This window comes from Homo sapiens, chromosome 9, assembly GCF_000001405.40.
Source record: "Homo sapiens chromosome 9, GRCh38.p14 Primary Assembly".
NCBI classification, from domain to species: domain Eukaryota; kingdom Metazoa; phylum Chordata; class Mammalia; order Primates; family Hominidae; genus Homo; species Homo sapiens.
This window is the reverse complement of record NC_000009.12, coordinates 107,419,889-107,447,656: the sequence shown is the minus strand read 5'-3', so window position 1 is coordinate 107,447,656 and position 27,768 is coordinate 107,419,889. Positions and strand designations below refer to the sequence as shown.

The following is a 27,768-nucleotide window of genomic DNA, read 5'->3' as shown; positions in this document are numbered from 1 at the left end:
TCTGCTCTCCTAGGTCCAGCTTCAGCCAACACGGCCGACACCACCAGCACTCACTCTACTTCTCTAAAGACAAGTCTGGGTGTCATCCTCCTCCTCCTCCAGGGGCATTTGGCAATGTCTGGAGACATTTTTGGTTGTCATAGCTTGGAGGATGCTACTGGCATGTAATAGGTAGAGATTAGGGATGCGGCTAAACATGCTACATCACACAAGACAGCTCCCCACAGCAAGGAATTATCTGGCCTCAAATGTCAATAGGGCCAAGGTTGAGAAATCCTGATCTAGAGGGAAGTGGGCAAAGAGACTTGGAGCCCACAACCTCCAGGTCCCGCCCAGGTGCCTTGGTATGCGTCCAGTTCACAGACAGCATACTTGAGGCCACAGGTAGTCATATGACTTGCCCACAGTCATGTAGGTGTCAGGATGATGGTTTTCTGATTCAAAGCCTCGTTCTAGGTTAGAAATCTGCCTCCTCAAGGCTTCCTGATAATTGAGGTCTAGATCTTCAAAGTACAGCCTGAGCCACAGGAAAGAAGTCCTGGCTTTCTCTGGCCTTGTGACCTGTTCATAGCACAGCCTTTCAGTGGCTGTCTCTCCACGACTCTGAGATGATCCAGCCTGAGTCAGGCATGCAAACCCTTCCAAGTTCGGGTCCTGTTCAGTCCCCTGTCCTCACATCCCAGTTCCCTTTTGCTCTTTTTTTTTTTTTTTTTTTTTTTTTGAGACGGAGTCTTGCTCTGTCACCCAGGCTGGAGTGCAGTGGCACAATTTCGGCTCACTGCAACCTCCGCCTCCCAAGTTCAAGTGATTCTCCTACATCAGCCTCCCTAGTAGCTGGGATTACAGGCGCCCGCCACCACGCCCAGCTAATTTTTTTTTGTATTTTCATTAGAGACGGGGTTTCGCCATGCTGGCCAAGCTGGTTTCAAACTCCTGACCTCAGGTGAACTGCCTGCCTCGGCCTCCCAAACTGCTGGGATTACGGGCATGAGCCACCACTCCTGCCCACCCTCTTGCCGTTTCCCGCTGCTTTCTCAACAGCCCCATCACCCCCACACTCTTACTCATCGCTGTGCCTTTGTTTACAGATTCCCAAATGTGGTACTCATTCTACCTGGATATACCAGAGGATTTTGTGGGAATAAAAGGATGACTGTTTTTTCACTTGAATAATTAGGTATTTATTTATTTATTTATTTATTCATTTATTTTTGAGATGGCGTTTCACTCTTGTCACCCAGGCTGGAGTGCAATGGTGCAATCTCGGCTCACTGCAAACTCTGCCTCCTGGGTTCAAGCAATTCTCCTGCCTCAGCCTCCTAAGTAGCTGGGATTTCAGGCGCCCGCCACCATGCCTGGCTAATTTTGTATTTTTAGTAGAGATGGGGTTTCTCCATGCTGGTCAGACTGGTCTCAAACTCCTGACCTCAGGTGATCCTCCTGCCTCGGCCTCCCAAAGTGCTAGGATTACAGGAGTGAGCTACCGTGCCCAGCTAGGTATTTATTTTAATGTATATTAGAAAAAAGCAGCAAGCAAACCCATGATGTGCTATGTGGGTTTTTTTGTTTGTTTTTGTTTTTTTTTTTGAGACGATGTTTTGCTCTTGTCGCCCAGGCTGGAGTGCAGTGGCGTGATCTCGGCTCACAGCAACCTCCGCCTCCTGGGTTCAAGCAATTCTCCTGCCTCAGACTCCTGAGGATTACAGATGCCCGCCACCACACCTGGCTTTAGTAGAGATGGGGTTTCTCCATGTTGGTTAGGCTGGTCTTGAACTCCTGACCTCAGGTGATCCATCACCTCGGCCTCCCAAAGTGTCGGGATTACAGGAGTGAGCCACCACACCCAACCTACTATGTCTTTTTTATTTAATTATATTTAAATTTTAAATATAGTCCAATACGAATATTACATAAATATCGTATAGGTGGCAATCTTATGGAGTGAAAATCATGAAGGTGGATGTGTAGACATGAAGTCTATCTTCACTTAAGCTCTTTCCCTAGGTTAATGTCCTTCTCCCTGCCTGACCTCTGTGTATCCTCACTCACTGTACCCCATGCCTGGCTAATGGCCACTCATCCTTGAGCTGAGTAGCTCAGGCTTTCATTCCTCTAGAAGCTTCTCTTACCAATACCCAGCACTCCTACCCCAGGCTGGGTCAGGTGTCTCCTCTGCGAATCGTTGGAGGAAGGACACATAGCTAAGTTAATTCAGAAATAAGACTGCCTACTATAAAGCCATACTGAGTGGAGGCTCTGAAGAGCTACAGTTGTTGAACTTGCAAGACATGGAGCACTGCTTTCTTTCTTTTCTTTTTTTTTCAGATGGAGTCTAGCTCCGTCGTCTAGGCTGGAGTGCAGTGGCGTGATCTCAGCTTACTGCAACCTCCGCCTCCCGGGTTCAAGTGATTCTCCTGCCTCAGCCTCCTGAGTAGCTGGGATTACAGGCACCCACCACTACACCTGGCTAATTTATTGTATTTTCAGTAGAGACAGGGTTTCATCATGTTGGCCGGGCTAGTCTTGAACTCTTGACGTTGTGATTCACCCACCTCAGCCTCCCAAAGTGCTGGGATTACAGGCATGAGCCACCGCGCCCGGCCGGAGCACTGCTTTTCTACTGTGAAGTTTTTATTTCCCATTCAGCTCAGCCTGAGAAACAAGCTTCTGACCCCAGTCTTAGTAACAAGCCAGGGCATGAGAGCAATGCAACTTCATCCCTGGACAGAAACTAAGCACCATGTAGTTTCCTATACCAACCCGTCACTATGTGCCAGGAAGTCTCTGACTTTGGGACTGGAAGACGTGGAGCTGTTTGAGTTTGGCCAAAATAGTTTCCCTCTCTGAGCTTCGGTTTCCCTATTTGTAAAATGAAAGGAATGAGCCCTACTCACCTCCTAAGGTGGCCGTGAGTTTTGAGCTGAGTGAATGGACGTGGAAGCACTTTGGAAATCATGAAGCACTTTTGAGTGAATGGAAGGGGTTGTTGTTTTTAAGCACTTAAATGAGAACAGCCTGATACTGTGGGGTTTTCAGTGCGATGCTGTGTAACCAGAATAACCGGAGTGCGTGTTTGTGCATCTTTACCCACATGCATACACACACCCTGACTACAGAATGTGGCTTTAGGCCTCTTTTGAGATGCTGCGAGGTACAGCACACACAGGCAGCTCACGGAGGATATTAGGGCTTTGGGGTTTCGAAGGGCAAAGCCTGAGAGGAGAGATGTATGATCAAAATCAAGAAACAATTTCTTTCCTTCAGACATTCAACAGCTCCTGCTTGAGCAGCACCACTGTGCCAGGCTCTGGCAACGTTGGAGATAAAGGATGTGTCTCTGTTCTCAAAAGGATCGATTCCAGCAGGGAGAACCTACATGTGAATAAGTCACTCCATGCAAGGTGTATCTGGGATTACAGGTGTGCGCCAGCACTCAGCAACACACGGTGCTGCAGAAACCCTAAGATTTAACTCCAACTTCTGGAGAAGAGCTCACTGCAAGACAGATGAGAAAGAGGTTGTTTTAAGATGAAGAAAAGGAATGATACTTGATTCATCATCTTATACATGATTCACAAGAAAAATATAATGTCTTTATTTTTCAGAGGGTTTTTTAAAATTAAGAGATGGGATCTTGCTACGTTGCCCAGGCTGTAGTGCTGTGGCTATTCACAGGCATGGTCATAGCTCACTACTGTCTTGAACTCCTGGGCTCAAGCCATCCTCTTACCTCAGCCTCCCATGTAGCAGGGACTACAGGTGCCTGTGACCACATCTAGTTTTCCAGTGGGTTTTAAAATGACCTAAGTGTTTGAGGAGAGGAACAGGCTGGCACTGAGAGGCATGACTAAATTGTGAGCCCTCCTTGAGGACTGGAGCTGTGTCTTATATTCCCAGCATAAAGCCCAGTGTGAAGCAGCACACTCTGCATAGTGGTCAAAGCAGCTGATAAATATAAGGTCAATATCAGGACACTCTGACAGCCTCACACAGCCAACAAACACTGACTTGCCAAGTCCTGTGCAGGGCACTGGGGGTGGGAGGGTATGGGAGGATGCACACTAGCTAGAAGTCAAGAAGTCAGACTGCAAACAGTCACTCGATAGTGGGTTGGCGGAAGTGTAACAGTGTGATGGTGCCTTCACCTGGGCAGAGAGCAACAGGGGGCCCTGCACAGAAGACAACATCTGCCAGTGATGAAACCAGCTCCACCCCTGCCAACCGTGGCCTCCTCTACAGCACATACCTGGGGCCACCATCCAAGGCCCAGAGGAGCCAGGAGCTAATTGCATGGCTTTGCTCTACTTGATATTTCTGGGTTCCTACATTTCACACCTGTCCCAACACTTTGAGCTCCTCTAGAGCAAGGACCAATTCTTTATCTCCAAATCTCTGGAACATAGAGGAACTGAGAATGGGTGCTGAATGAATGAAAGATTGAAACAGTATTACATATCTAATAGAATTGCTCCAGTGACCTTGTTGTATTCTCAAGAGTTACAAGGGGGCCGAGCACGGTGGTTCGTGCCTGTAATCCCAGCACTTTGGGAGGCTGAGAAGGGCAGATCACTTGAGGTCAGGAGTTCAAGGCCACCCTGACCAATATGGTGAAACCTCATCTCTACTAAAAATACAAACATTAGCTGGGCGTGGTAGCGCACACCTGTAATCCCAGCTACTGGGGAGGCTGAGGCAGGAGAATTGCTTGAATCCAGGGGGTGGAGGTTGCAGTGAAATGAGATCGTGCCACTGCACTCCAGCCTGGGCAACAGAGTGAGACCCCATCTCAAAAAGAAAAAAGTTACGAGGGGCTGCAATTTAGATCTCACTCATTTAATTCATTTGAGCATTTCTACTAGAGTCCTCTACACTAAAAAAAAAAAAAAAAATTGTGGCCGGGCATGGTATAATCCAAGCACTTTGGGAGGATGAGGTGGGAGGATCACTTGAGGCTAGGAGTTCGAGACCAACCTAAGTAACGTGGCAAGACACTGTCTCTATTTAAAATTTAAAAAAATAAAAAATAAAATTAAAATAAATAAATAAATTAGTATTAGGAGGCAATATAAATATAATGCATACAAAAGTTACATGTACTACATATGTAAGTTGAGTATATATGCTTTTAGATAAAAAATATATAAATTATATGTTTTTATATAATAAAAGATGAATACATATAAATCACTACCCAAGTTAAGGATTAGAACATTCCTAGTGTTATTGCATCCACTGGGGTGAGTCCTTCCTAACTCATCCCTCGAAGACCACCCCAGACTACCCCCCATGGCCCCATGTGTTTGCATTCCCTTTATTTTATAATGGGTTTACTCCAAGTGTATTTGTAAGAAAACAATCTATTATTTTATTTATTATTATTATTATTTTTTTTTTTTTTGGAGACGGAGTCTCGTCTGTGGTCCAGGCTGGAATGCAGTGGCGTGGTCTCGGCTCACTGCAACCTCCGCCTCCCAGGTTCAAGGGATTCTCCTGCTCAGCCTCCCCGGTAGTTGGGACTACAGGCATGGGCCACCACGCCCGGATAATTTTTATATTTTTAGTAGAGATGGGGTTTTGTCATGTTGGCCAGGCTGGTCTTGAATTCCCGACCTCAGGTGATCTGTCTGCCTTGGCCTCCCAAAGTGCTGGGATTACAGGCATGAGCCACTGCGCCCGGCCTTTTTAGCTTGTTTTGAGCTTTATAAAAAAAGGCATTATATTCTAATGTTCTAAAGTTTTATTGAGGTATAATCGATATATCAAAAATTGCAAATATTTAATGTGTACATCTGTGTGAGTTTGGACATATGCCTATACCTGTGATACCATCACAACTAAGGTTCTGAACATATCCAACACTTCCAAATACTTCCTTGTATTCTTTTTTTTCCCTTTCTGTGTGTAGTAAGAACACTTAAACATGAAATCTCCCTGCCTAACATAAAGTGCACAACACCATGTTGTTAACTTTACGTGCTGTGTTGTACTACAGATCTCTAGAATTTATTCATCTGGCATAACCAAAAGTTTATACCCATCGAGCAAAAATTCTTTATTTCCCCTTCCACCAGCCCCTGGCAGCCACTGTTCTTCTATGAGTTTGACTATTTTAGATGCCTCATATAAGCGAGATCATGCAGAGTTTTTTCTCCCTCCCTCCCTCCTTCCCTTCCTTTCTTTTCTTTCTTGACAAGGTTTCACTCCCATCACCCAGGCTGGAGGGCAATGGCACAGTCTTCACTCTCTGTAGCCTCCGCCTCCCAGGCTCAAGCAATTTTCCTGCCTCAGCCTCCCAGTGGCTGGGACAGTATTTGTCTTTCTATAGCTGGCTTATTTCACTTAGCATAAAGTCCTCCAACATAATGTCATCTACGTTGTCACAAATCGTAGAATTTCCTTTTCTTTAAGGCTGAATAATACTTCATTGTGTGCAGCTTGTTTTCTTTACTTATTATTTCCATGTTATTGAATGTGGCTTTAATTCATTCATGTTCACTTCTGTGTAGTATTCCACTGTGTGAATAGACAAAAAAATCTTTTTTTTTTTTTTTTCTGAGATGGATTCTCCCTCTGTCGCTCAGGCTGGAGTGCAATGGCGCAATCTCGGCTCACTGCAACTTCTGCCTCCTGGGTTCAAGTGATTCTCCTGCCTCAGCCTCTCAAGTAGCTGGGAATACAGGCACCCACCATCATGCTTGGCTAATTTTTGTATTTTTGTGGAGAGCGGTTTCTCCATGTTAGCCAGGCTGATCTTGAACTCCTAACTTCAGGTGATCCACCCACCTCAGCCTCCCAAAGCGTTGGGATTACAGGCGTGAGCCACCACAACCAGCCAAAAAAATCTTATTTATTTGTTGGTAGACATTATGCTTATTTGTAGTTTTTTTTTTTTGACCATTATTTACAATTCTGCTATGAACATTCTTATGTATATCTCCTGGTGCACAGGAGCAGGGCTTTATCTAGGGTATAGATCTCAAGAAGTTTATTGCTGGATGGTAAGATCTGTGAATGTTCAGATGTATCTTGGCCTGGCATTCAGAGGTATCCGTGACCTGGCCTAGGATACCCTCCCACCTGGCTCCCACATCCCTAGCCAAGCCCACTCCCCTGTGTGCCATTTCCGGAACTCTGATTCACCCTGCACTTCCATGTCTCTAGGACTTTAACCATGCTCTAGTCTCCTGCCTGGAATGCCTCCCTGCCCCTCTTCCCTCTCCTTTCCTCTTTTAAAGTCTGGCTCAAAGCCCCTCCTCCCTGCCTGATAGTCTCTTCTGTGCCTTTGCACACTTTGTTTGTGTTTGGGGAGGAAAGATCCAGTGCTAAGCCCCGGCTTTATTATCTCCTGGCATTGTGACTCTAGAGAGCTTTGTTTAATCTCTCTGAACCTCAGGTCCACATGCCACATGTAGAAGGGAAATGCTGCAACTTATTGTACTGAGGCTGGGCTTACTTTTTTTTTTTTTTTTAACAAGCATCCCTCAATTAATAAAATGAGGTGTCACACTGTGGTTAAGATCATATGCTTTGGGATTAGATCATCCTGGGCTTGAGGATTAAATGAGACAACGTATATAAATGATTTAGCACGATGCCTAGCCCACAGAAAATTTCCAGTAATTTCTGGCTGTTATTCATACTCATACCCTTCTACAGGAGTCACTATTTTTTTTTTTTTTTTTTTTTTTTTGAGACAGAGTCTTGCTCTGATGCCTAGGCTAGAGTGCAATGGTGTGATCTTGGCTCACTGCAAACTCCGCCTTCCGGGTTCAAGCGATTCTCCTGCCTCAGCCTCCAGAGTAGCTGGGATTACAGGCCCCCGCCACTGTGCCCAGCTAATTTTTGTATTTTTTAGTAGAGACGGGGTTTCACCATCTTGGCCAGGCTGGTCTTGAACTCCTGACCTCATGATCCACCCACCTCGGCCTCCCAAAGGCTGGGATTACAGGCGTGAGCCACCCAGCCCGGCCAGGAGTCACTATTTTTATCCCAAATTTACCGACAAGAAAACTGAGGCACAGAGCAATTGTATAGCCTGTCCACGGTATATAAAAGCTAGGATTTGAACCTGGGTTCCTTGACAAGCCCAAGCCCCTAACTACTTCTCATAATCACAGTTTGAAGATAAAAGGCTAAAAGGAAAGTATGAAAGGAAGTATCTTCTCCTTTTCTGTCTTCTGGATATTTGGCCAAACCACTGTGACCTGTGCCTAGGTCTATATTTTATCTCTTTGCAAATAAAAACTCCCAGATAGAAAAGCCTGGCCATGTATGCATGTGGCATCTAGTGCTTTCTTGGTATAGTGGGGGACAAAGGATGTATTTAAATGACCAAAATGGTTCACTTAGGGGAAATCTTCTAAGAGCCATTGCCTTTCTCTGTCCCTCTCTCTCTCTTTTTGTTTTTTGTTTTTTTTTTTTTGAGACAGAGTCTTGCTCTGTTGCCCAGGCTGGAGTGCAGTGGTGCAATCTCTGCTCACTGCAACCCTGTCTCCCAGGTTTAAGTGGTTCTCCTGCCTCAGCCTCCCAAGTAGCCGGGATTATAGGCATATGCCACCACGCCCAGCTAATTTTTGTGTTTTTAGTAAAGACGGGGTTTTGCCATGTTGCCCAGGCTGGTCTCGAACTCCTGACCTCAGATGATCTGCCTGCCTCAGCCTCCCAAAGTGCTGGGATTACACAAAGTGCTGGGCCATTGTACCTGGCCTCTGACCCCTCTGTTGTCTAAAATACAAGCTTATAAAGTAGTAAACGAATACTAAACATGTTTTCTGATCACTATCAGCTGTCTGGTGAATCATGCAGCTCCTTGAAATGAGGTATAAACACGGACTATCTTGACAGTGAAAAGATTAGGTTAGTTTCGGTTTTCAAGTGGTAAACTGGCAAACACAGGCCTTTGGACCACTTAGGTCTTTTGAAGAATAAACACCCTGCCCTACACCTCTTTGGCCTTTTCATCCAGGTACCCCCAAGCACTTTTCAACAGGATTTGGCATTCATCCATGGGTGTTTCAACCCATGGACAGGTGCTGGGTAGAGGGATGAAGGGGTGCTGGGAATCCTGCCTTGGGCTGTTTGTCCCTGGAGTAAACAGCATTCCTTTGGGAGGAGGGTAGAGTGAGGGAGCAATTGGCATGCAGATGGAGAAGGGCTGGGAAGGGAAACAGAGTTGTCCTGAGTGTTCCCAAAGGTCAGAACAACGATGCAAACTTGGGTTCCATATCAAGAGGTCCTTTCTGCATAAGTACCATGCCCTAACCAAGCGCCACTGGAGCTCCTCAAGAGGAAATTTCTAACAAGTCAGCACTGCTTGGTGGCAGAGGGAGCTCCCTATTTCTAGAGAAATGTGAGCAGTCACTTCATGAGGGTGACACAGTGAGCTGTCCGGCAGCCTGGAGGCAACATCAGGGACTCCTTGGCCTACACAGAGGCTCTGACCGTATCACTCCCTTAAACCAGTGTCCCTTGACCTAAAAGCCCAGGGCTCTCCACCCCAAACCAAACTGCCTCCTGGTTCCCGACTTCCAAGTTTGTCACTCTCCAAAAGTCAAGAATTTTTTTGTTTTTAAAACATTTTTTATTTGTGGTAAAATATATGTAACATAAAAATTTATCATTTAATCATTTTTCTGTTTTAATTTATTTTTCTTTTCTTTTTTTTTTTTCAGCCAGCATCTCACTGTATCACACAGGCTGGAGTGCAGTGGCACCATCACAGTTCACTGCATTCTTGACCCCCTGGGCTCAAGTGATCCTCCCACCGCAGCCTCCCGAGTCACTTTAACCATTTTTTTTTTTTTTGACAGAATCTCACTCTGTCGCCCAGGCTGGAGTGTAGTGGCATGATCTCGGCTCACTGCAACTTCTGCCTCCCGGGCTCAAGTGATTCTTGTGCCTCATCCTCCTGAGTAGAAGGGACTACAGTCACGTGTCACCACACCTGGCTAATTTTTTTGTATTTTTGGTAGAGACTGGGGTTTCACCATGTTGGCCAGGCTGGTCTTGAACTCCAGACCTCAGGTGATCTGCCCACCTTCGCCTCCCAAAGTGCTGGGATTACAGGCGAGAGCCACTGCACCCAGTTGCTTTAGTCATTTTTATTTTTATTTTTTGAGACAGTCCCTATAGCCCAGGCTGGAGTACAGTGGCGCAATCCTGGCTCACTGCAACCTCCGCCTCCCGGGTTCAAGTGATATTCATGCCTCAGTCTCCCAAGTAGCTGGGATTACAGGTGTGTGCCACCATACCCAGCTAATTGTTGTATTTTTAGTAGAAATAGGGTTTTGCCACGTTTGCCAGGCTGGTCTCAAACTCCTGACTGCAGGTAATCCACCCGTGTCGGCCTCCCAAAGTGCTCGGATTACAGGCGTGAGGTACCACACTTGACCTTTTAGTCATTTTTAATGTACAGTTTAGTGACATTAAATACATTCACATCGTTGTGCAACAGTCACCACGACTGTTTTTTTTTTTTTGAGACGGAGTCTCACACTGTCGCCCGGGCTAGAGTGCAGTGGCGCCATCTTGGCTCACTACAACCTCCACCTCCCAGGTTCAAGCGATTCTCCTGCCTCAGCCTCCAAAGTAGCTGGGATTACAGGTGCCCACCACCACGCCCAGCTAATTTTTTGTATTTTCAGTAGAGACAGGTTTTCACTATGTTGGCCAGGCTGGTCTCGAACGCCTGACCTCCTGATCCACCTGCCTGGGCCTCCCAAAGTGCTGGGATTACAGGCGTGAGCCACCGCGCCCGGCCTAACAGTTGATCTTTTCTGTTGTTGTTTTTATTGATATCACTATCCTAAGGGATGCAAGGTGATATCTCCTCATGGTTGTGAAGCTACTAAGTCTTAGTCACCTCTTGTTCAGGTCCTCCAAGAAGCAGATGCTAAGATGGGTTTAAACACACAGGGATTTCATTAGGACAAATGCCTGTGAGAGAAAACCAGGAGGGAGTAGTGGGAAGTTGAGGGAGCTCCAGGGGTGGGAAAGGGAAATAAGTTGTCTGTAGAGTTGTCGCAAGAGGCAGACCGCAGGTGGATGCAATTCTGTCCCAAAGTGAAGGCAATAAGGGAGGAAGCGTGGGTAGAGGAATCCTAGGCTGCCATTCAGTCTAAAGAAAGTTCAGCAGGTGTGTTGGGGAGTCCCTGAACCAGTGGCACCTATCACAGGAGTCCAGCATCTCTAGGAACAGGGCTGCTGTGGATTGCCTGCCACACTCAGTCAAACCAAGAAGCAGCCTGTGGGAAGTGTGGCTGGTACAAAAACAGTGATAGATTTCACGGCAGCCTCTGGGTCGGGTATGGTTAACTACTCTTCTTGTAGTTGCACTCCTCATGGCTGCATACCTGTGTCACACGGGGGGACTATTTAAGGTGTTGTGGGCTTATTTTCTTTTTTGGTAATCTGTATATATTCAAAGCTAGTTAGCAGACATCTGAAACATACTAAGTGCTCAACAATTATTTGTAAACAAAAGATTGCACTTCTGGCTTCAATGTGTCTCCTAAATGTTTTCACTCACTTAGAGAGTGGTAACCTTTTTATCTCTAAAAACGCACATATGATACTGTGTTTGTTTGTTTGTTTGTTTTTTGAGACAGAGCCTTGCTTTGTCAATCAGGCTGGAGGGCAGTGCATGGCTCACTGCAGCCTCAACATTCCAGACTCAAGCAATCCTCCTACTTCAGCCTCCTGAGTAGCTGGGACTACAGACGTGCACAACCACACCTGGTTAATTTTTTTAATTTTTGTAGAGATGAGATCTCACTACGTTGCCCAGGCTAGTCTTGAATTCCTGGGCTCAAGTGATCCTCCCACATGAGCCTCCCAAAATGCCTGTGAACCACTGTGCCTGGCCATATGATACTTTTGTTTTCCCCCAAAAGCATATGCTACCATATACTCTAAGGTGTTTTCCTTTCTGTGTGATTGCTGAAGAAGACAGCTGTTTAACAATGGAACACTTTCTATCTAACTAGCTGTCCTCCTTAGTCAGAAATGTGGGGGATTTTAGTTTTCTTTTTGCATAATCATCAGAAAATCCTCACCCAATATTGTTTGACTTGGGATTCAAATCCAAGACTAGTGGAATCCTCCAGCTTGGACAATCTGTCTCTCTCCTTGCAACCCACCTCCAGAAGCTGGTATTTGTATCTAAGGAGAGGATATATATGAAGAGTCTTGCTCACGGCAAACTCCTGCAAAGGATTTTGTTACTGTGAAGAACAGGGTAGTCCTATGTTGACGCTGAACCTGAACATTCAGAATTTTCTTGAGCCCCAAGGTAGTACCGCACACCTCACAGAAAAGTTGATGAGCAAAGGTGTTCTGTTTTGTGTTCTTCCCCCACTAATTCATATGTCAAAGGAAGTCCCTTGCCCTCCCAAAAGCACCCCACTCCTCTCTAAGGAGAATGGCCCAGTCCTTTCCCGAGTCCACACAGGGGAGGTGATAGCATTGCTTTCATGGAAATTACGAAGTGCAGGCAGGGTGCGGTGGCTCATGCCTGTAATCCCAGGACTTTGGGAGGCTGAGGCAGGCGGATCACCTGAGGTCGGGAGTTTGAGATCAGCCTGACCAACATGGTGAAACCCCCGTCTCTACTAAAAATGCAAAAATTAGCCAGGCGTGGTGACAGGCGCCTATAATCCCAGTTGCTCATGAGGCTGAGGCAGAAGAATCACTTGAACCCGGGAGGTGGAGGTTCCAGTGAGCTGAGATTGCGCCACTGCACTCCAACCTGGGTGACAAGAGCGAGATTCCATCTCAAAACAAAACAAAAAAAAATTACAAAGTGCAAAATTTTTTAAATCTTCGCCTTAATACTTTTTTATTTTGTTTTATTTTGAATGATCAGCCTTTGTGACCCCCTCCTTTTTTGTCCCCCAACTTAAGATGTATGAAAGCCTTCTGTCTCCCTGGGAGTGCTGGAGTCAGCCAGGGCTTGCCTGTACACTGACTTGGACCAGTTGAATAAAAGTGCACACTTAAAAAAAAAAATCATATGTCAAATTCACATGTCACTAATTCATATGTCCAACTCCTAACCTCAGTACCTGAGAATGTGACCTTCTTTGGAAACAGCATTGTTGCAGGTATAATTTGTTAAGTGAAATGAGGTGATACTGGAGTAGGGTGGCCCCTAATCCAGTATGACTGGTGTTCTTATAAAAGGGAGATTTGGGGCCAGGCGCGGTGGCTCATGCCTGTAATCCCAGCACTTTGGGAGGCCGAGGCGGGCGGATCACGAGGTCAGGAGATTGAGACCATCCTGGCTAACACGGTGAAACCCCGTCTCTACTAAAAATACAAAAAAAATTATCCAGGCATGGTGGCGGGTACCTGTAGTCCCAGCTATTCAGGAGGCTGAGGCAGGAGAATGGCGTGAACCTGGGAGGTGGAGCTTGCAGTAAGCCAAGATCAGGCCACTGCACTCCAGCCTGGGTGACAGAGTGAGACTCCATCTAAAAAAAAATTAAATAAATAAATAAATAAAATAAAAGGGAGATTTGGACACAGGCATGCACACAGGGAGAATGCCATGTGAAGATGAAATTGTGGTGATGCTTCTACAAGTCAAGGAACAGCAAAGGTTACCAGACAACTGCCAGGAGCAAGGGGAGAGGCATGGAACAGATTCTTCCTTACAGCCCTCAGAAGGAACCAACCCTGTCAACACCTTGATCTTGTACTTCTAGTCTCCAGAGTTGTCAGACAATAAATTTCTGTTGTTTAGGGCACTCAGGTAGCAGTACAGTCATGCATCCCTTAAGAGTGGGGATATTTTCTTTCTTTCTATCTCTCTCTCTTTCTTTCTTTCTTTCTCTCTCTTTCTTCTTTCTTTCTTTCCTTCCTTCCTTTTCTTTTTTTTTTTTTTTTTTTGACGGAATTTTGCTCTCATTGCCCAGGCTGGAGTGCAATGGCAAGATCTTGGCTCACTGCAACCTCTGCCGCCTGGGTTCAAGTGATTCTCCTTCCTCAGCTTCCCAAGTAGCTAGGATTACAGGCATGCACCACCACACTCTGGTAGTTTTGTATTTTTAGTAGAGATGGGGTTTCACCATGTTGGTCAGGCTGGTCTCAAACTCCTGACCTCAGGCGATCCATCCACCTCGGCCTCCCAAAGTGCTGGGATTACAGGCATGAGCCACCGTGCCCGGCCAAGAGTGGGGATATTTTCTGAGAAATGCATTGTTAGGCGATCTTGTCATTGAAGCATCATAGAGTGTACTTACACAAACCTAGCTGATAGAGCCTACTATAAACCTAGGCTATATCGCATAGCCTAGCGCTCCTAGGCTACAAACCTGGACAGCATGTTACCATACTGAATTATGTGCGCAACTGTAACACAATGGTAAGTATTTGTGTATTTAAACCTATCTAAACATACAAAAGGGACAGTCAAAACACAGTATTATAAACTTACAGGCATTGTATATGGGGATCATTGTTGAGCGAAACCTTATTATGTGGCACATGACTATCTTTTGTCACAGCAGCCTGAGAAAACTAATATAGAAGGAGAGGAAGAAACCAGATTAACATGATAAGCACGTGGGATATTTGCTTTTCAAGGGGCTCTCTCCCACTATATGATTGCATTGCAGAAAATGATGTTACTAGGAAAAAAATAGTTGCTTATGGGGAGATTATTCTATGTGGCAATACACAAATGTTTTCAAACAGCTGGTACCTTGTAAAAGGAGGCTTCTGTAAACAGGATATTCCTGTTGGCATGGGACTGCATATTTGTTTAAAAAAAAAAGTGCCCTGTTTCTGCAACAGTCAACCCATAGAAACAAGGAAATATAACTCGAGAAATTAGAGACCGCATGCATCACAGAAAATCCCCTGAACATGAAGTGTAGACAAGGCCAGCCGAAGAGTGACAAAAGATGCCTGGCAAACATAGAAGCTTGCCCTTTGAAATGTTTGATGTTTTCCTGGAAAAGTCACAGTCAGGTGCATTTAAAAAGGAAAAAGCACAGAACATCAAAGCTGGAAAGGGGCTTAATCTAATCCATCTACTGAATTTGACTGGTTGAGAAAACTGAGGCCCAGAGAGGGGAAGGGATTTGTCCAAGGTCACACAGCAGTAAGTGGCTGCTGGGAGTCCTGAACCGAGCTTTTCTTTCTTTTTCTTTCTTTTTTTTTTTTTTGAGGCAGAGTCTCGCTCTGTCGCAGAGGCTGGAATGCAGTGGCGCTATCTTGGCTCACTGCAAGCTCCACCTCCTGGGTTCATGCCATTCTCCTGCCTCAGCCTCCCGAGTAGCTGGGACTACAGGCGCCCGCCACCACGCCCGGCTAATTTTTTTTGTATTTTTAGTAGAGACGGGGTTTCACCGTGTTAGCCAGGATGGTCTTGATCTCCTGACCTCATGATCCGCCCTCCTCGGCCTCCCAAAGCGCTGGGATTACAGGCGTGAGCTACCGTGCCCGGCCTCTTTTTTTTTTTTTGAGATGGAGTCTCACTCTGTCACCAGACTGCAGTGCAGTGGCGCAATCTTGATTCACTGCAACCTCTGCCTCCCAGGTACAAGTGATTCTCCTGCCTCAGCCTCCTGAGTAGCTGGGACTACAGGCGCACGCCACCACACCCAGCTAAGTTTTGTATTTTTAGTAGAGATGGGGTTTCACATGTTGGTGATGGTCTCGATCTCTTGACCTCATGATCTGCCTACCTTGGCCTCCCAAAGTGCTGGGATTACAGGCGTGCGCCACTGCACCTGGCCGAACTCAGCTTTTCTTACTCCAAGTCAGTGATCCTTCCCGGCCTGCCATCCTTTCCTCTTTCATTATTTCACATCTCTCCCTTTGGCTGGTTCCTGAGTTGAGTCCATGAAAAAAAAACCTCTACCTAACAAGTAAGTTCTCACCACTATTCCTATTGTCCCCGGGATTTTTGCAGGGCTGGCTTTATGCTGTCTTCAACTGGCCTGCGAGTGTCTGAGAATTATTCAGCGTTATGTCAGGGAAGCCGATGGTCAGGATGACATTCTTCTTTACTGCCTGATGTATCATGGGAAAAACTGAATGCATGGGAAAGTCCTCCCTTCCTGGCTCTCTCTGTCCCCATGAATATTTCCAAAGAGACTCTTTCACCTTCAGTGACAAGAGGGAGAGGAGGGGATTGGGAGGCAACTATCTAGCAGTATCCAGCAGACATAACACAGACACTGCATACTCACACCCACCTAGACGTGCACACACGACACACACATACCCGGAACACACACCCACCCAACACACACACTGAGCACTCACAACACATATGCCTACAGCACACATAGCCTCAAAGCACCTGAAATAATGGGGCAGGCTCCTAAAGAATCTAGACTGTGGGGAAATGCGGAGTGCTGGAGAGAGAATGGGTTTCACCCGGGTTTGAATCTGGCTGCATCCTAACCTTGGTCTGGTTCCTGAACTTCTCTGAGCTTTGATGTGAACACCTGATCCCAAGGCTGTGAGGAGTATGTGAAGAGGTGAAGCACATAAAGTATTTGCTCCTGGGCTCACTACTTACTGCCCACTCAGTGGTGGTCCAGGTTGCTCTTTTACAGGAACTGCTGCTTGTCTGAGTTTCTGATTTCTCCCTACTCCTGGGACTCTGGCTAGTGGGATCTGACAGACTAGTGGTGAAAGCCTCCTAACTAGTCTTTTGGCCTCCATTTTCTCCTCCCCACCCCACCTGTCCTCCAAAGTGATCTTGCAGAACTGCTAGTCTTTTTGTATTCTTCCCTCCACAAGAACCTCCTTTAGACGTCCTTCACTTCCAGGATCCAGTCCAAACTCCTGGGCTTGGCACATGAACCCTCCATCATCTGGCACCTGGCAGCCCACATGCTGGAGCCTCACGGATTTGCTCATCGCCCTCTGAACACCTGTGGCCTTCTCACTCCTCTGTGTCTTTGCACATCCTTTCCCCAACCTCATGGTAGGTCCTTTCTCCTCCTCTTGATCCAGCTCAGTGGTTCTCATAGTGCAGCCCCTGGGCCAGAGAAGCAGCATCACCAGGGAGCTTGTTAGAAATGCCAATGTGGGCTGGGCACAGTGGCTCCCGCCTGTAATCCCAGCACTATGGGAGGCTGAGACAGGCGGATCACCTGAGATCAGGAGTTTGAGACCAGCCTGGCCAACATGGTGAAACCCCATCTCTACAAAAATTAGTCTGGGTGGTGGCGGGCACTTGTAATCCCAGCCACTCAGGAGGCTGAGGCAGGAGAATCACTTGAACCTGGGAGGTGGAGGTTGCAGTGAGCTAAGGTCACGCCACTGCCCTCCAGCCTGGGCGACGGAGTGAGACTCCGTCTCAAAAAAAAAGAAAGAAAAGAAATGCCAACGTTGGGCCCCATCTTAAACCTACTGAATCAGAAACACTGGGCATGGGGACCAGCCACTTGTGTTCGAACAGGCTCTCCAGGTGCTGCTGATGAGACTCACTGACTAGTGAAAGTACTCTCAACCATGCTTGGGGGTTGTTTTTTTTTTTTACAACATTTTCCCAACTCCTTGTTGCCTTTGCAGAGATAGTTATTCTTTCCCCAAAGCCCTTCAAAGTGTTCACAGAATTCCAAACACCCCTCATCGCACTTAGTGAGTTCTGTGCTTGTTAATGTTGTCTCTATACATTTATGTTCCCACCATTAACCCAGGGAGCTTGTCACACCTGTGTCTGCCCTGATGTCCAGCGTAGGACCTAAAACATGTGACAAAAGTGCCCATGAATATTAGTGTTCTGAAGATTTGCAGAACTTTGATTTGCCTATGCTTACAGAGCTCATCAAACTCTATAACCCTGGGTCAAGTTCAGTAAAGTGGGCAGACAAGTCCTCTGAGAGAGTTTATTTGTAAACTCTGCCTCTCTACCTTCCCCCCAATCAGTCCATATCCCCCAAACCCCAACTGCTAGGAAGTCCTTAAAATCTCATTTTTATTCAAGTGCTTTTGCACTCTATTCCCTAATAGATCTGTGCCAGTCTTTAAAATTTTAGTTTTTTTTTCTTTTTTTAAAGATGGAGTCTCACTCTGTCGCCCAGGCTGGAGTGCAGTGGCGCAATCTCGGTTCACTGCCACCTCCTCCTCCCAGGTTCAAGTGATTCTCCTGCCTCAGCCTCCCAGATAGCTGGGATTACAGGCACCCGCCACCACGCCTGGCTAATTTTTTGTATATTTAGTAGAGACAGGGTTTCACTATGTTGGCCAGGCTGGTCTCAAACTCCTGACCTCGTGATCCACCCACCTTGGCCTCCCAAAGTGCTGGGATTACAGGTGTGAGCCACTGCGCCCAGCCTAATTTTTGTATTTTTAGTAGAGACAGGGTTTCACCAGTTTTTAATTATAGTAAAATAAACGTAAAATTTACCATCATAACTATTTTTTTTAATTTTTTTGAAAGGGAGTCTCACTCTGTTGCCCAGGCTGGAGTGCAGTGGCGTGATCTTGGCTCACTGCAAGCTCTGCCTCCCGGGTTCATGCCATTCTCCTGCCTCAGCCTCCCGAGTAGCTGGGACTACAGGCACCCACCACTACGCCCGGCTAATTTTTTTGTATTTTTAGTAGAGACGGGGTTTCACCGTGTTAGCCAGGATGGTCTGGATCTCCTGACCTTGTGATCCGCCCACCTCGGCCTCCCAAAGAGCTGGGATTACAGGCGTGAGCCACCACGCCCGGCCCAACTATTTTTAAGTTTCAGTAGTTTTAAGTATATTCATTCTGTGCCAGTTTTAATGGGGGAAAAGATAAAGACTTAAATTACTTGAAAACAAGTAAAACTGCCAATCCAAGAATATTCACCACATCTATACTGAGACTTGGAACTCCCCAAGAGGTATGCATGCTCATCTTTGAGAGTAATAATAGTGACAGCTAATGTTCATTGAAGGCTCACTATGTTCCAGGCACTATGCTCAATTATTTCAAACATATTTTATTTAATATTGATGTCAGCTCTAGGAGGCAAATATGATTACTAGCTCCATATTGTAGAAGGCGAAACCAACATATAGAGAAACAGAGTAGCTTGCTAATCCACAGCTGTGGATCTCTGGATTCAGATCTCAGAGCCACCATGCCGAGGCATCTTGCCCTACCTAGAGCCCCATTCCCAGCACACTGGAGATACCGACATCTCTTGAGGGCAGGGCAGTCCCTTTTGCCTTCTGGATCCATTCTTAGGTAGGTTACCTTTGCCTCTGTGAGCTATAAATGACCCATGCAACTTTCTCTCCAGCCAGGCCATTGCATTGTGATCCAGGCTCAGTCTTCGTTCTGCTTCGTGGCATCACAGTCCCTTATTTGAAACTGAACCAGGACTGCAGTCTTCGACTTTGACATCAAATTTGACACCTCAGTGGCCCAGTACGTGTTGCTTTCCTTACTGAGCCTCAGCTTTCTCATTTGTAAAGTGGGAATAATAGGCCAGGTGTAGTGGCACACACCTGTAATCCTGGCACTTTGGGAGGTCGAGGCAGGCTAATCACTTGAGCTCAGGAGCTTGAGACTGGCCTGGGTAACATGGCAAACACCATCTCTACAAAAAAATACAAAAATTAGCTGGGCATGGTGGAGCATGCCTGTACTCCCAGCTACTTGGGAGGCTGAGGTGGGAGAATCACCTGAGCCCAGGAGGTCAAGGCTGCAATGAACTGTGATTGTGCCACTACACTCCAGCCTGGGTGACAGAGTGAGACCCTGTCTCAAAAAAAAAAAAAAAAGTGGGAATAATACAAGCCCACAATCCCTGACTTAAAACTCTCTAGGCCAGGCCAGGCGCAGTGGCTCACGCCTGTAATCCCAGCACTTTGGGAGGCCAAAGTGGGCAGATCATGAGGTCAAGAGATTGAGACCATCCTGGCCAACATGGTGAAATCCCGTCTCTACTAAAAATACAAAAATTAGCTGGGCCTGGTGGCGCATGCCTATAGTCCCAGCTACTCAGGAGGCTGAAGCAGGAGAATCACTTGAATCCAGGAGGCGGAGGTTGCAGTGAGCAGAGATCATGCCACTGCACTCCAGCCTGGCAACAAAGCCAGACTCCGTCTCAAAAAAACAAAACAAAACAAACCAACAAACAAAAAAACCTCTCCAGGCCAGATATGTCTCAATTCAGAATGTTTTGGATTTTAGAAAGGCAGCAAGTACATGTATATAAATTACACAACACCCAACTGGAGTCTAGGGCAGCCCGCAAATATCAAACACATTAGTGTTTTTCACAGCAAAAGTATTACTATTCACACTGAGTGGGATACTCATGTTATTATAAATTAGGTTTCACCACCAAATAAGTTACAAAAGTGTTTCCACTTTTTCAGAGCTTTCAGAAACTTGGAATTGCAGACATTATGGATTTGGACCTGCCCTCAGAAGGTTACTATGAGGACTAAATACATTCAAAGTACATGCAAGTACTTTTTAGTAGAGGCTATGGTCCATTGGAGGTACAGAAGGCACTTAATAAGAGGTCACACTCTTCTCTTCTTCCTTCCGTTTCCAAATCCTACACTTTTCTCAGGCCCCTTCCACACTGTCTTCTTTATTTATTTATTTTCTTTGAGACAGCGTGTCACTCTGTTGCCCAGGCTGGAGTGCAGTGGCGTGATCATGGCTCACTGCAGCCTTGACCTCCTTGGGCTCAGGTGATCCTCCCACCTCAGCCTCCCCAGTAGCTGGGACTTCAGGTGTGCACCACCACACCCAGCTAATTTTTGTATTTTTAGTAGAGACGGAGTTTTGTCACGCTGGGCAGACTGGTCTCAAACTCCTGGCTTCAGGTGATCTGCCCACCTCGGCCTCCCAAAGTGCTGGGATTACAGGCATGAGCAACTGTGCCCCACCCAGACTGTTTTCTTTTTCTTTGACTTTTCCTGTTTATGACCCACCTCGTCAACGTGCTCTTCTCAAACCAAGACTTGCTTTCTTTTTTCCTTTGTTTTTTCTTTTGAGATGGAGTCTCACTTTGTCGCCCAGGCTGGAGTGCAGTGGCACGATCTTGGCTCCCAAGTTCAAGCTATTCTCTTGCTTCAGCCTCTGGAGCAGCTGGGATTACGGGCGTGCACCATCTCGCCTGGCTAGTTTTTGTATTTTTAATAGAGACGGGGTTCCACCGTGTTGACCAGGCTGGTCTCGAACTCCTAACCTCAAATGATCCCCCTGCCTCGGCCTCCCAAAGCGCTGAGATTACAGGCACGAGCAACCGCGACTGGCCAAGGCTTGCTTTCTTCATATCCTCCTAATCGTACTCTGTCCAGGGCATACGTAGTCATTTGGTTTCGTCTTGCAGCTTTGGAAATGCAGCTTGTACATTCCTTGGTGAGCTGGCTGTGCCATATCATTAGGGCTGTTTGAGGTAAGCTACTCCTCAAGCTGGATGCTTTCTTGCAAAAGCGTTGTCAAACACAATCCAGGGATAGTTTTCCTAGAAAGATGAGTATGACCCCCTTCCAGGGATAGTTTTTCTAGAAAGATGAGTATGACCCCCTCCCTACCAGAAAGCCCACCCCAAACAGCCTTCTCTTGCTAACAAGTGGCTGAGGGAGGGTGAACTAACAGGTGAGGAACCATCTGGGCCAATCTCTTACTCCTCTAGCAATCGGCCAACTCTAGGTCCCTCCAGGGTCCTCCAGTAGTGAAGCGTTGTCACACTGTTTTGGGGATGCCATTGGAAAGCACAGAAATATGGAGAGGGCAGAGGCGAGGCGTCCATTGTTGTTGCCTTTATGACGGTATTGCGCTATGGAATGAGAAAGTCCCTTCCCTGAGCTAAGCCATTATTATGTGGGTCCTATTCTGGCCACAGACACCACGTGAGTAGTCAGGCCTCAGCTGTTATTTCAGCCTCAGGGATGAAAACATCCGAACAGTGGAATCTTTTTTTGTTCCTGGCTCCAGTCTCGGAACCCACAGACTTTGGATTCACCGTAGTCTCCACCTATCCCCATATCAAGCGGATGGGCTTCCCGAGTCTCAGCTACCCGCTCTTTCCTTTGTCTCTGGCCTGCTCTGCGGGCACTTTCCCACAAGGCCTGGGACCCTGGAGAACCTAAGTCATCGCTCGAGGGAGAGTTTACTGGGTTCAGGGTGAGGCTGGTGGAAGGAACATCGTGGTGGTACGCCTGGGGTCTCCACGGGGAAGAGGACAAGGGGGACTTCCAGGAGCTTCAGCGGCAGCCAACGCTGCGAGCCTCATCTGCGTGCGCCCCTCGTGGCGCTCGCGGGAACTGCGGGCCGACGTCCCCTGTTTCTCTCGTTGATTTCGCCAGCTCTGATGAGGCCGGAGCGGGCCTCTTCAGAGGAATGTAGACTGTTTGCACCCGAAAACCAAAACCGTGTCCAAGGGGCGGGGCCGGCCTGCTGGCATCTAGAATGGGGCCTGGCAGAGTGGGCCCGGGAGGTGGCTCCAGGCCCAGGGCCAGCCACGCTGCTTTCCCACGTGCACAGGCGTTGGCTTCCTCTGAACCAGACTCTGGGGGGAGGGAAGAAGCCTCCGCCGGGAAGGAGAGCTGGGGGCTTTCCCTTCTGTGTGCAGCGACCTGCGCCAGGAGGCAGCGTCGCCAAAGAGTACAAGGAGAGCTTTCGCCTCTGAGATTCCAAGAACTAGCTGGGATGTTCTGAATCATTAGAATCCATTAGTTCTGACCCCTGACTTAAAACCCTCCCAAGGCTCCTAGGACCACCCACACTGGCCTGCCCAATGCTAGCCACTAGGTACCTGCATGTGGCCACTGAGCGCTTGAAATGTGCTCCTACCCACACCAGACTTTGAAGATTTAGTAGGAAACAAAAAAAGGTAAATGTCATTAATTTTTTTTTTTGTCTCTTGGCTTAATAAAACATAATAAAATCAGGCCGGGTGTGGTTACTCACGCTTGTAATCCCAGCACTTTGGGAGGCTGAGGCGGGTGGATCACCTGAGGTCAGGAGTTCGAGACCAGTCTGGCCAAAATGGTGAAACCCCGTCTCTATTAAAAAGGCAAAAATGTGCTGGGCGTGGTGGCGCACGCCTGTAATCCCAGCTACTCAGGAGGCTGAGGCAGGAGAATCACTTGAACCTGGGAGGCGGAGGTTGCAGTGAGCCCAGATCATGCCACTGTACTCCAGCCTGGGCAACAAAGCAAGACTCCGTCTCAAAAAATAATAATAATAATAATAATAATAATAAAATAAAAAATTAAACATATTAAAATTAATTTTACCAGTTTCTTTTTGTTTTTAAAATGTGCTGCTAGAAAATTTAAAATGATGCCCATGACTCACACTGTATTTGTTAGACAGAGCTATTCCAGACGTTCTCCAATGGGCCAGGCTTCATTCCTGCCTCAGGGCCTTTGCAGTTGTTTTTCTCTCTGCGCGCAATGCTTTTCTTTCAGCATGACTTTCTTTTTTCTTTCTTTCCTTTTTTGTGAGACATGGTCTCACTCTGTTGCCCAAGCTGGAAGTGCAGTGGTGCAATCATGGCTCACTGCAGCCTCGAATCCCCATGCTCAGGTGATCCTCCCACCTCAGCCTCCTGAGTAGCTGCGACTATGGGTACCTGCCACCACGCCCAGCTATTTTTTTGTATTTTTTTGTAGGGACAGGATATTGCCATGTTGCCCAGGCTGGTCTCAAACTCTTGAGCTCAAGTGAGCCACCTGCTTCGTTCTCCCAAAGTGTTAGGGTTGTAGGCATGAGCCACTGCACCCAACCAGCTTCCTTCTTTCGTATCATGCAGATCTCAACTCAAATTTCTCATACCTGGCTACTAACTAAACAGTCCCACTCCATCCCTGTTTTGTCATATTATCCAGTTTTATTGCCCTAATAGCACTTAACAGTCTCTTTATATTTCTTGTCTCTCCCCGTCCCCACCCAGCCCCACTTTCTTCGTCCTTAGAATGTAAAATCCTTGAGAGCCCAGGCCTTGAACATCCTGTTCACTGTGGGCTCCCCAGTGCTCATAGTAAATATTTGTTGAATGAATGTTGAAAGTCTCCTCCAAGGGGTTGACTCCTTCAAGTGCCTTTGTGACAAAGCCAAAATTCTAATCTGTATGCTTTACGTACCCGTTCTCATGGATCCTCTGTGGTGCCTTTTCGGCTTACCAGTCCTGGCAATGGAAAAGTAAACGTGGCGTACGCCTGACTGCAACAGTCTTTTGTTGGTTTGCTACTGAGCTTCAAGATTAAGGGTTTGGGCTTCGGATACAAGAGGACTCGTCTTGGTCCTGCCAGTCAGTTCTGTGAACCTGTATAGGCGACTGTCCCTCTCAAATCCTCGCATTTGGGCAGGAGATGCTCCCTAAGCATTGATCACCTGCCCAAATGTGAGGATTTGAGTTTAGGATTTAGGTCTCTGCTAAGAGCAATTCATCCTATTTTGCACTCCAAAGCCACTTAGCTGGCATGGCAATGTCTCCATTAATCAACTAGCTAGAGTGCTTGGGGCCAGAAGTGTCCTGGTTAATCTAACTTCCTGGCTACGGATCAATTAACTACGACATCCTTGTTAAAAATATGAAGAGTATATGAATTCATTTTCCAGCTCTAGAAGGCCACTTCACTGAACAAAATTCTCATTCTTAGAAAGTATTATAAGGTGGCATTGTTATTTCCCTCCCAAAATTAAAACTGAGCACACAGGGGCTGAGTCAGAGGGACCCTTTGGGGTTTTCCAGCTGTTAAGCACAGCTGTGTAACTTTAGGCAAGGCATGGCTTTAACCCTCCAGTGTATCCATTGTCTTATGTAGGACATGGGGGAGATATTACTCCACTTCCAGAGAAGTTGCTAGGATGAAAGGACATAACAAATACAAGGTGCTTAGCATAGTGCCCTGCGTGTAACAAGTGCTCAATATTTATTATTATTGTTTGCAATGTCTCTGACCACTGCGATATGACCACCCACCTAATTAAAGGAGGGCAAGTGCTGGGACAGAGCTGTCCTCTGGTTCTGGCCTGCCTCTAACACCCTCTGGGGTCCTGGGCAAGCTCCATCACTTTCTGGCCTCAGTTTTCTCTTGGGCAATATGGGGTAATCTGGTTGATCTCTGATTTTCATGCAGGTGCTGAAAGCCACTGGGCTCTGGGTGCCCTGAGATCTTTTCCTCTGTTGAGCTCGACCCTGAAGGGCCAGGTCCCTCCTCTCCTGGTGAGGCTGGCCCCTTCCAGGGACCTCCCTAGGTGCTGGCTTCCAGCCCAGCCAAACTTGTCAACCAGTATCCCGGTGCAGGAGCTGCACATACTAGCCCCTGTCTAGGAAAAGCTGTCCTGCGACGCCCTCTGGAGGAAGCAGGGCTTCCTTTCCTCTGCCATCACGTGCTCAGTCTGGGCCCCAAGGATTGACCCAGGCCAGGGCTGGAGAAGCAGAAAAAAAGCATCAAGCCTACAAATGCATGCTTACTTGCAGCAGAAATAGACTAATTGCATGGGCGTTTCCCTGGGATCCCTGTCTCCAGGCTTCTCTCATCCATGCCTTTCTAGGCAGCCCACATCAGCCCTTGCTTAAAACTCTCCAAGGTTTCTCATGCCAAGCTCCCTGCAGGACATCCCAGGCCCTCTGGGACAGCAGCTCACGGGCCTCTCCAGCCTCATTTGCCACTGTGACCCATTCTCCAGCACTGATTCATCAATTAGCCCATCACAGGCGTAGCTACAAGATTAGTTTTGAGACTCTCATTCTATATATTTATGTACATCCTCCAAAACTGATAAAACAAGAAAGCCGTCAAGTTGTAATTGATAAATATGTAATTAAATGTCTACAAAATGTAACATGTCAATTGTCTTTGCAACTGGCCTCAACCTTAGGTAGCCATATATAACTCATATTTCCTGTGTGATGTGGGTGAATTTTAATAAGCATGGTATAGTGTGGGGGTGGGGCCTTGGAAAATAACAGTGCCTGGGGCCTCTAAGGTCTAAAGTCGTCCCTGCCCTTCACAACCTCTGCTTTAGCCATCCTGAAACACTGGCTGTTCCTCCCACAGACTCTGCTTTCCCTAGATTCCGGGCCTTTGCACCTGCAGTTCGCCTGTTCTGAATGTCCTCTCTTTCCTCCTCACCCTTCACTCCCTCCCCCTTGCCTGGCTGAGTCCTGTGACAGACATTTCAGGAGCCACTTTGGAAGCTTTTTCTTTTCTTCTTCTTCTTCTTCTTTTATTTTTTTATTTTTTGAGACGGAGTTTCACTCTTGTTGTCCAGGCTAGAGTCTGGTGGCACAGTCTCAGCTCACTGCAACCTCCACCTCCTGGGTTCAAGCGATTCTCCTGCCTCAGCCTCCCGAGGAGCTGGGATTTCAGGCATGCACCACCACGCCCGACTAATTTTGTATTTTTAGTAGAGATGGGGTTTCTCCATGTTGGTCAGGCTGGTCTCAAACTCCTGACCTCAGGTGATCCGCCTGCCTCGGTCTCCCAAAGTGCTGGGATTACAGGCATAAGCCACCACACCTGGCCTTTGGAAGCTTTTTCTAATGTCCAGTGGGACTCCTGCTGTAAGCTCCCTTTCACGCAAGTCTGCAATGAGAATGCAGCAGGAAAGCCTAGTACCAGCATATTTTATCTCCTTGCTTGTTTTTGCACTGGCCCTGACCACCCTGAGGATCAAGGCTGGGTCTGATTCAGCCCTGTATCCTCAGCACTAGGCTCAGTGCCTGGGCCATAGTATCCTCACATTTAATGGGTGGTGGATGGCCAAGGAAATGAGTGATGGATGGATGGGTGGATGGCTGGAAAGCCTCAGCATTAGGGTGTTGGAAAAGAAATTCACCAGAGCACTTTAGTGGTGTGGCTGGTCAGGGCACTGATGTGGCAAGGTTGGAAAAGATGACCTACTGCTCTTTCATTGAGCCCCCTCCTGCTTGCATGCTGCATGTCTACACTGGAACAAAGGCACCAAAGAATCAGCCTCTGGGTAGAATGACATCCCAAGGTTGCAACTGGCAAACCCTAGAATGTGGCTAACTCTAGATATAGGACAATAATCGCAAGTGAAAACACAACAACAAATAAATGGCAAGAGGAAGAAAATAAGCGAGAGAAGAAGCCTTTAGACTAAAAAAGACTAAAGAGACATATTAACCAAACCCCATACGTGGATTTTGCTTGCATCTTGATTGCAACAAACCAACCATTTTTAAAAATTATAATAAAATCAGAGAAATCTAAACAGTGGATGGGATTATACTAATAAATTATTTAATTTTGTAGATGCACGTATGGCATTGTATGTTTTTAATTTTTATCTTTCAGAGCTACCTACTGAAATATTTACAAGTGAAATGATGTGAGATGTGGGATTTGATTCAAAATGATCCTTTATGTATGAAGAGTGGGGCGTGGAGAATGCATGAAGATACAGATAAAATAAACGTGTCTATGGGTTAATACATGCTGTAGCTGGGTACATGGTGGTTTATTATGCTATTCTTTCTAGTTTTGTGTGCATCTGAAATTTTCCATAATAAATACTTTTTAGAAAACTCATGAACCGTTCTGATTCCTGGAGATGCCTTGGTGCGCATGACCATATAATCCTTCTTTGAAGGTGAGGGCTGGAGAAGAAGTCCTGTTGAGGGAGATGGGGAGAGGAGCGGAGGGAGGAGGAGCACTGAAGCACCGAGTTAGCTGCGTCACTGCTTAGCTCCAGATGGGCCACCATTTCTGATCTCCTACAACATGCCAGCCACAGCCCTGAGCACTCTCCACTCCATCATCTCAATTCATCCTGTGGGGAAGGTATTATCATCTTCACAGAGGAGAAAGCTGAGGGTCAGGGAGGTCC

General features: G+C 46.9%; 1 long non-coding RNA gene across 1 annotated transcript in view, besides 2 other annotated features; it reads left to right on the top strand.

Moving 5' to 3' along the window:
• The window catches only part of LINC01509 (long intergenic non-protein coding RNA 1509), a 46,302-nt gene extending 18,929 nt beyond the window's left edge, over positions 1-27,373 (top strand). The window contains exons 4-8 of the long non-coding RNA NR_121581.1: positions 1,089-1,177; positions 16,756-16,942; positions 19,238-19,365; positions 20,322-20,376; positions 27,237-27,373. This is a non-coding gene — a long non-coding RNA (long intergenic non-protein coding RNA 1509). The remainder of the gene's footprint in view (positions 1-1,088; positions 1,178-16,755; positions 16,943-19,237; positions 19,366-20,321; positions 20,377-27,236) is intronic.
• Positions 8,788-9,458: an enhancer, noted in NCBI's record as "NANOG-H3K27ac hESC enhancer chr9:110200480-110201150 (GRCh37/hg19 assembly coordinates)". NCBI's record gives its function as "activates a minimal SCP1, AML or CMV promoter by ChIP-STARR-seq in naive H9 embryonic stem cells {active_cell/tissue: H9 hESC(naive)}" and the evidence as "EXISTENCE:reporter gene assay evidence [ECO:0000049][PMID:30033119]".
• Positions 10,129-10,799: an enhancer, noted in NCBI's record as "H3K27ac hESC enhancer chr9:110199139-110199809 (GRCh37/hg19 assembly coordinates)". NCBI's record gives its function as "activates a minimal SCP1, AML or CMV promoter by ChIP-STARR-seq in primed H9 embryonic stem cells {active_cell/tissue: H9 hESC(primed)}" and the evidence as "EXISTENCE:reporter gene assay evidence [ECO:0000049][PMID:30033119]".
• Positions 27,374-27,768: the final 395 nt, after the last annotated feature.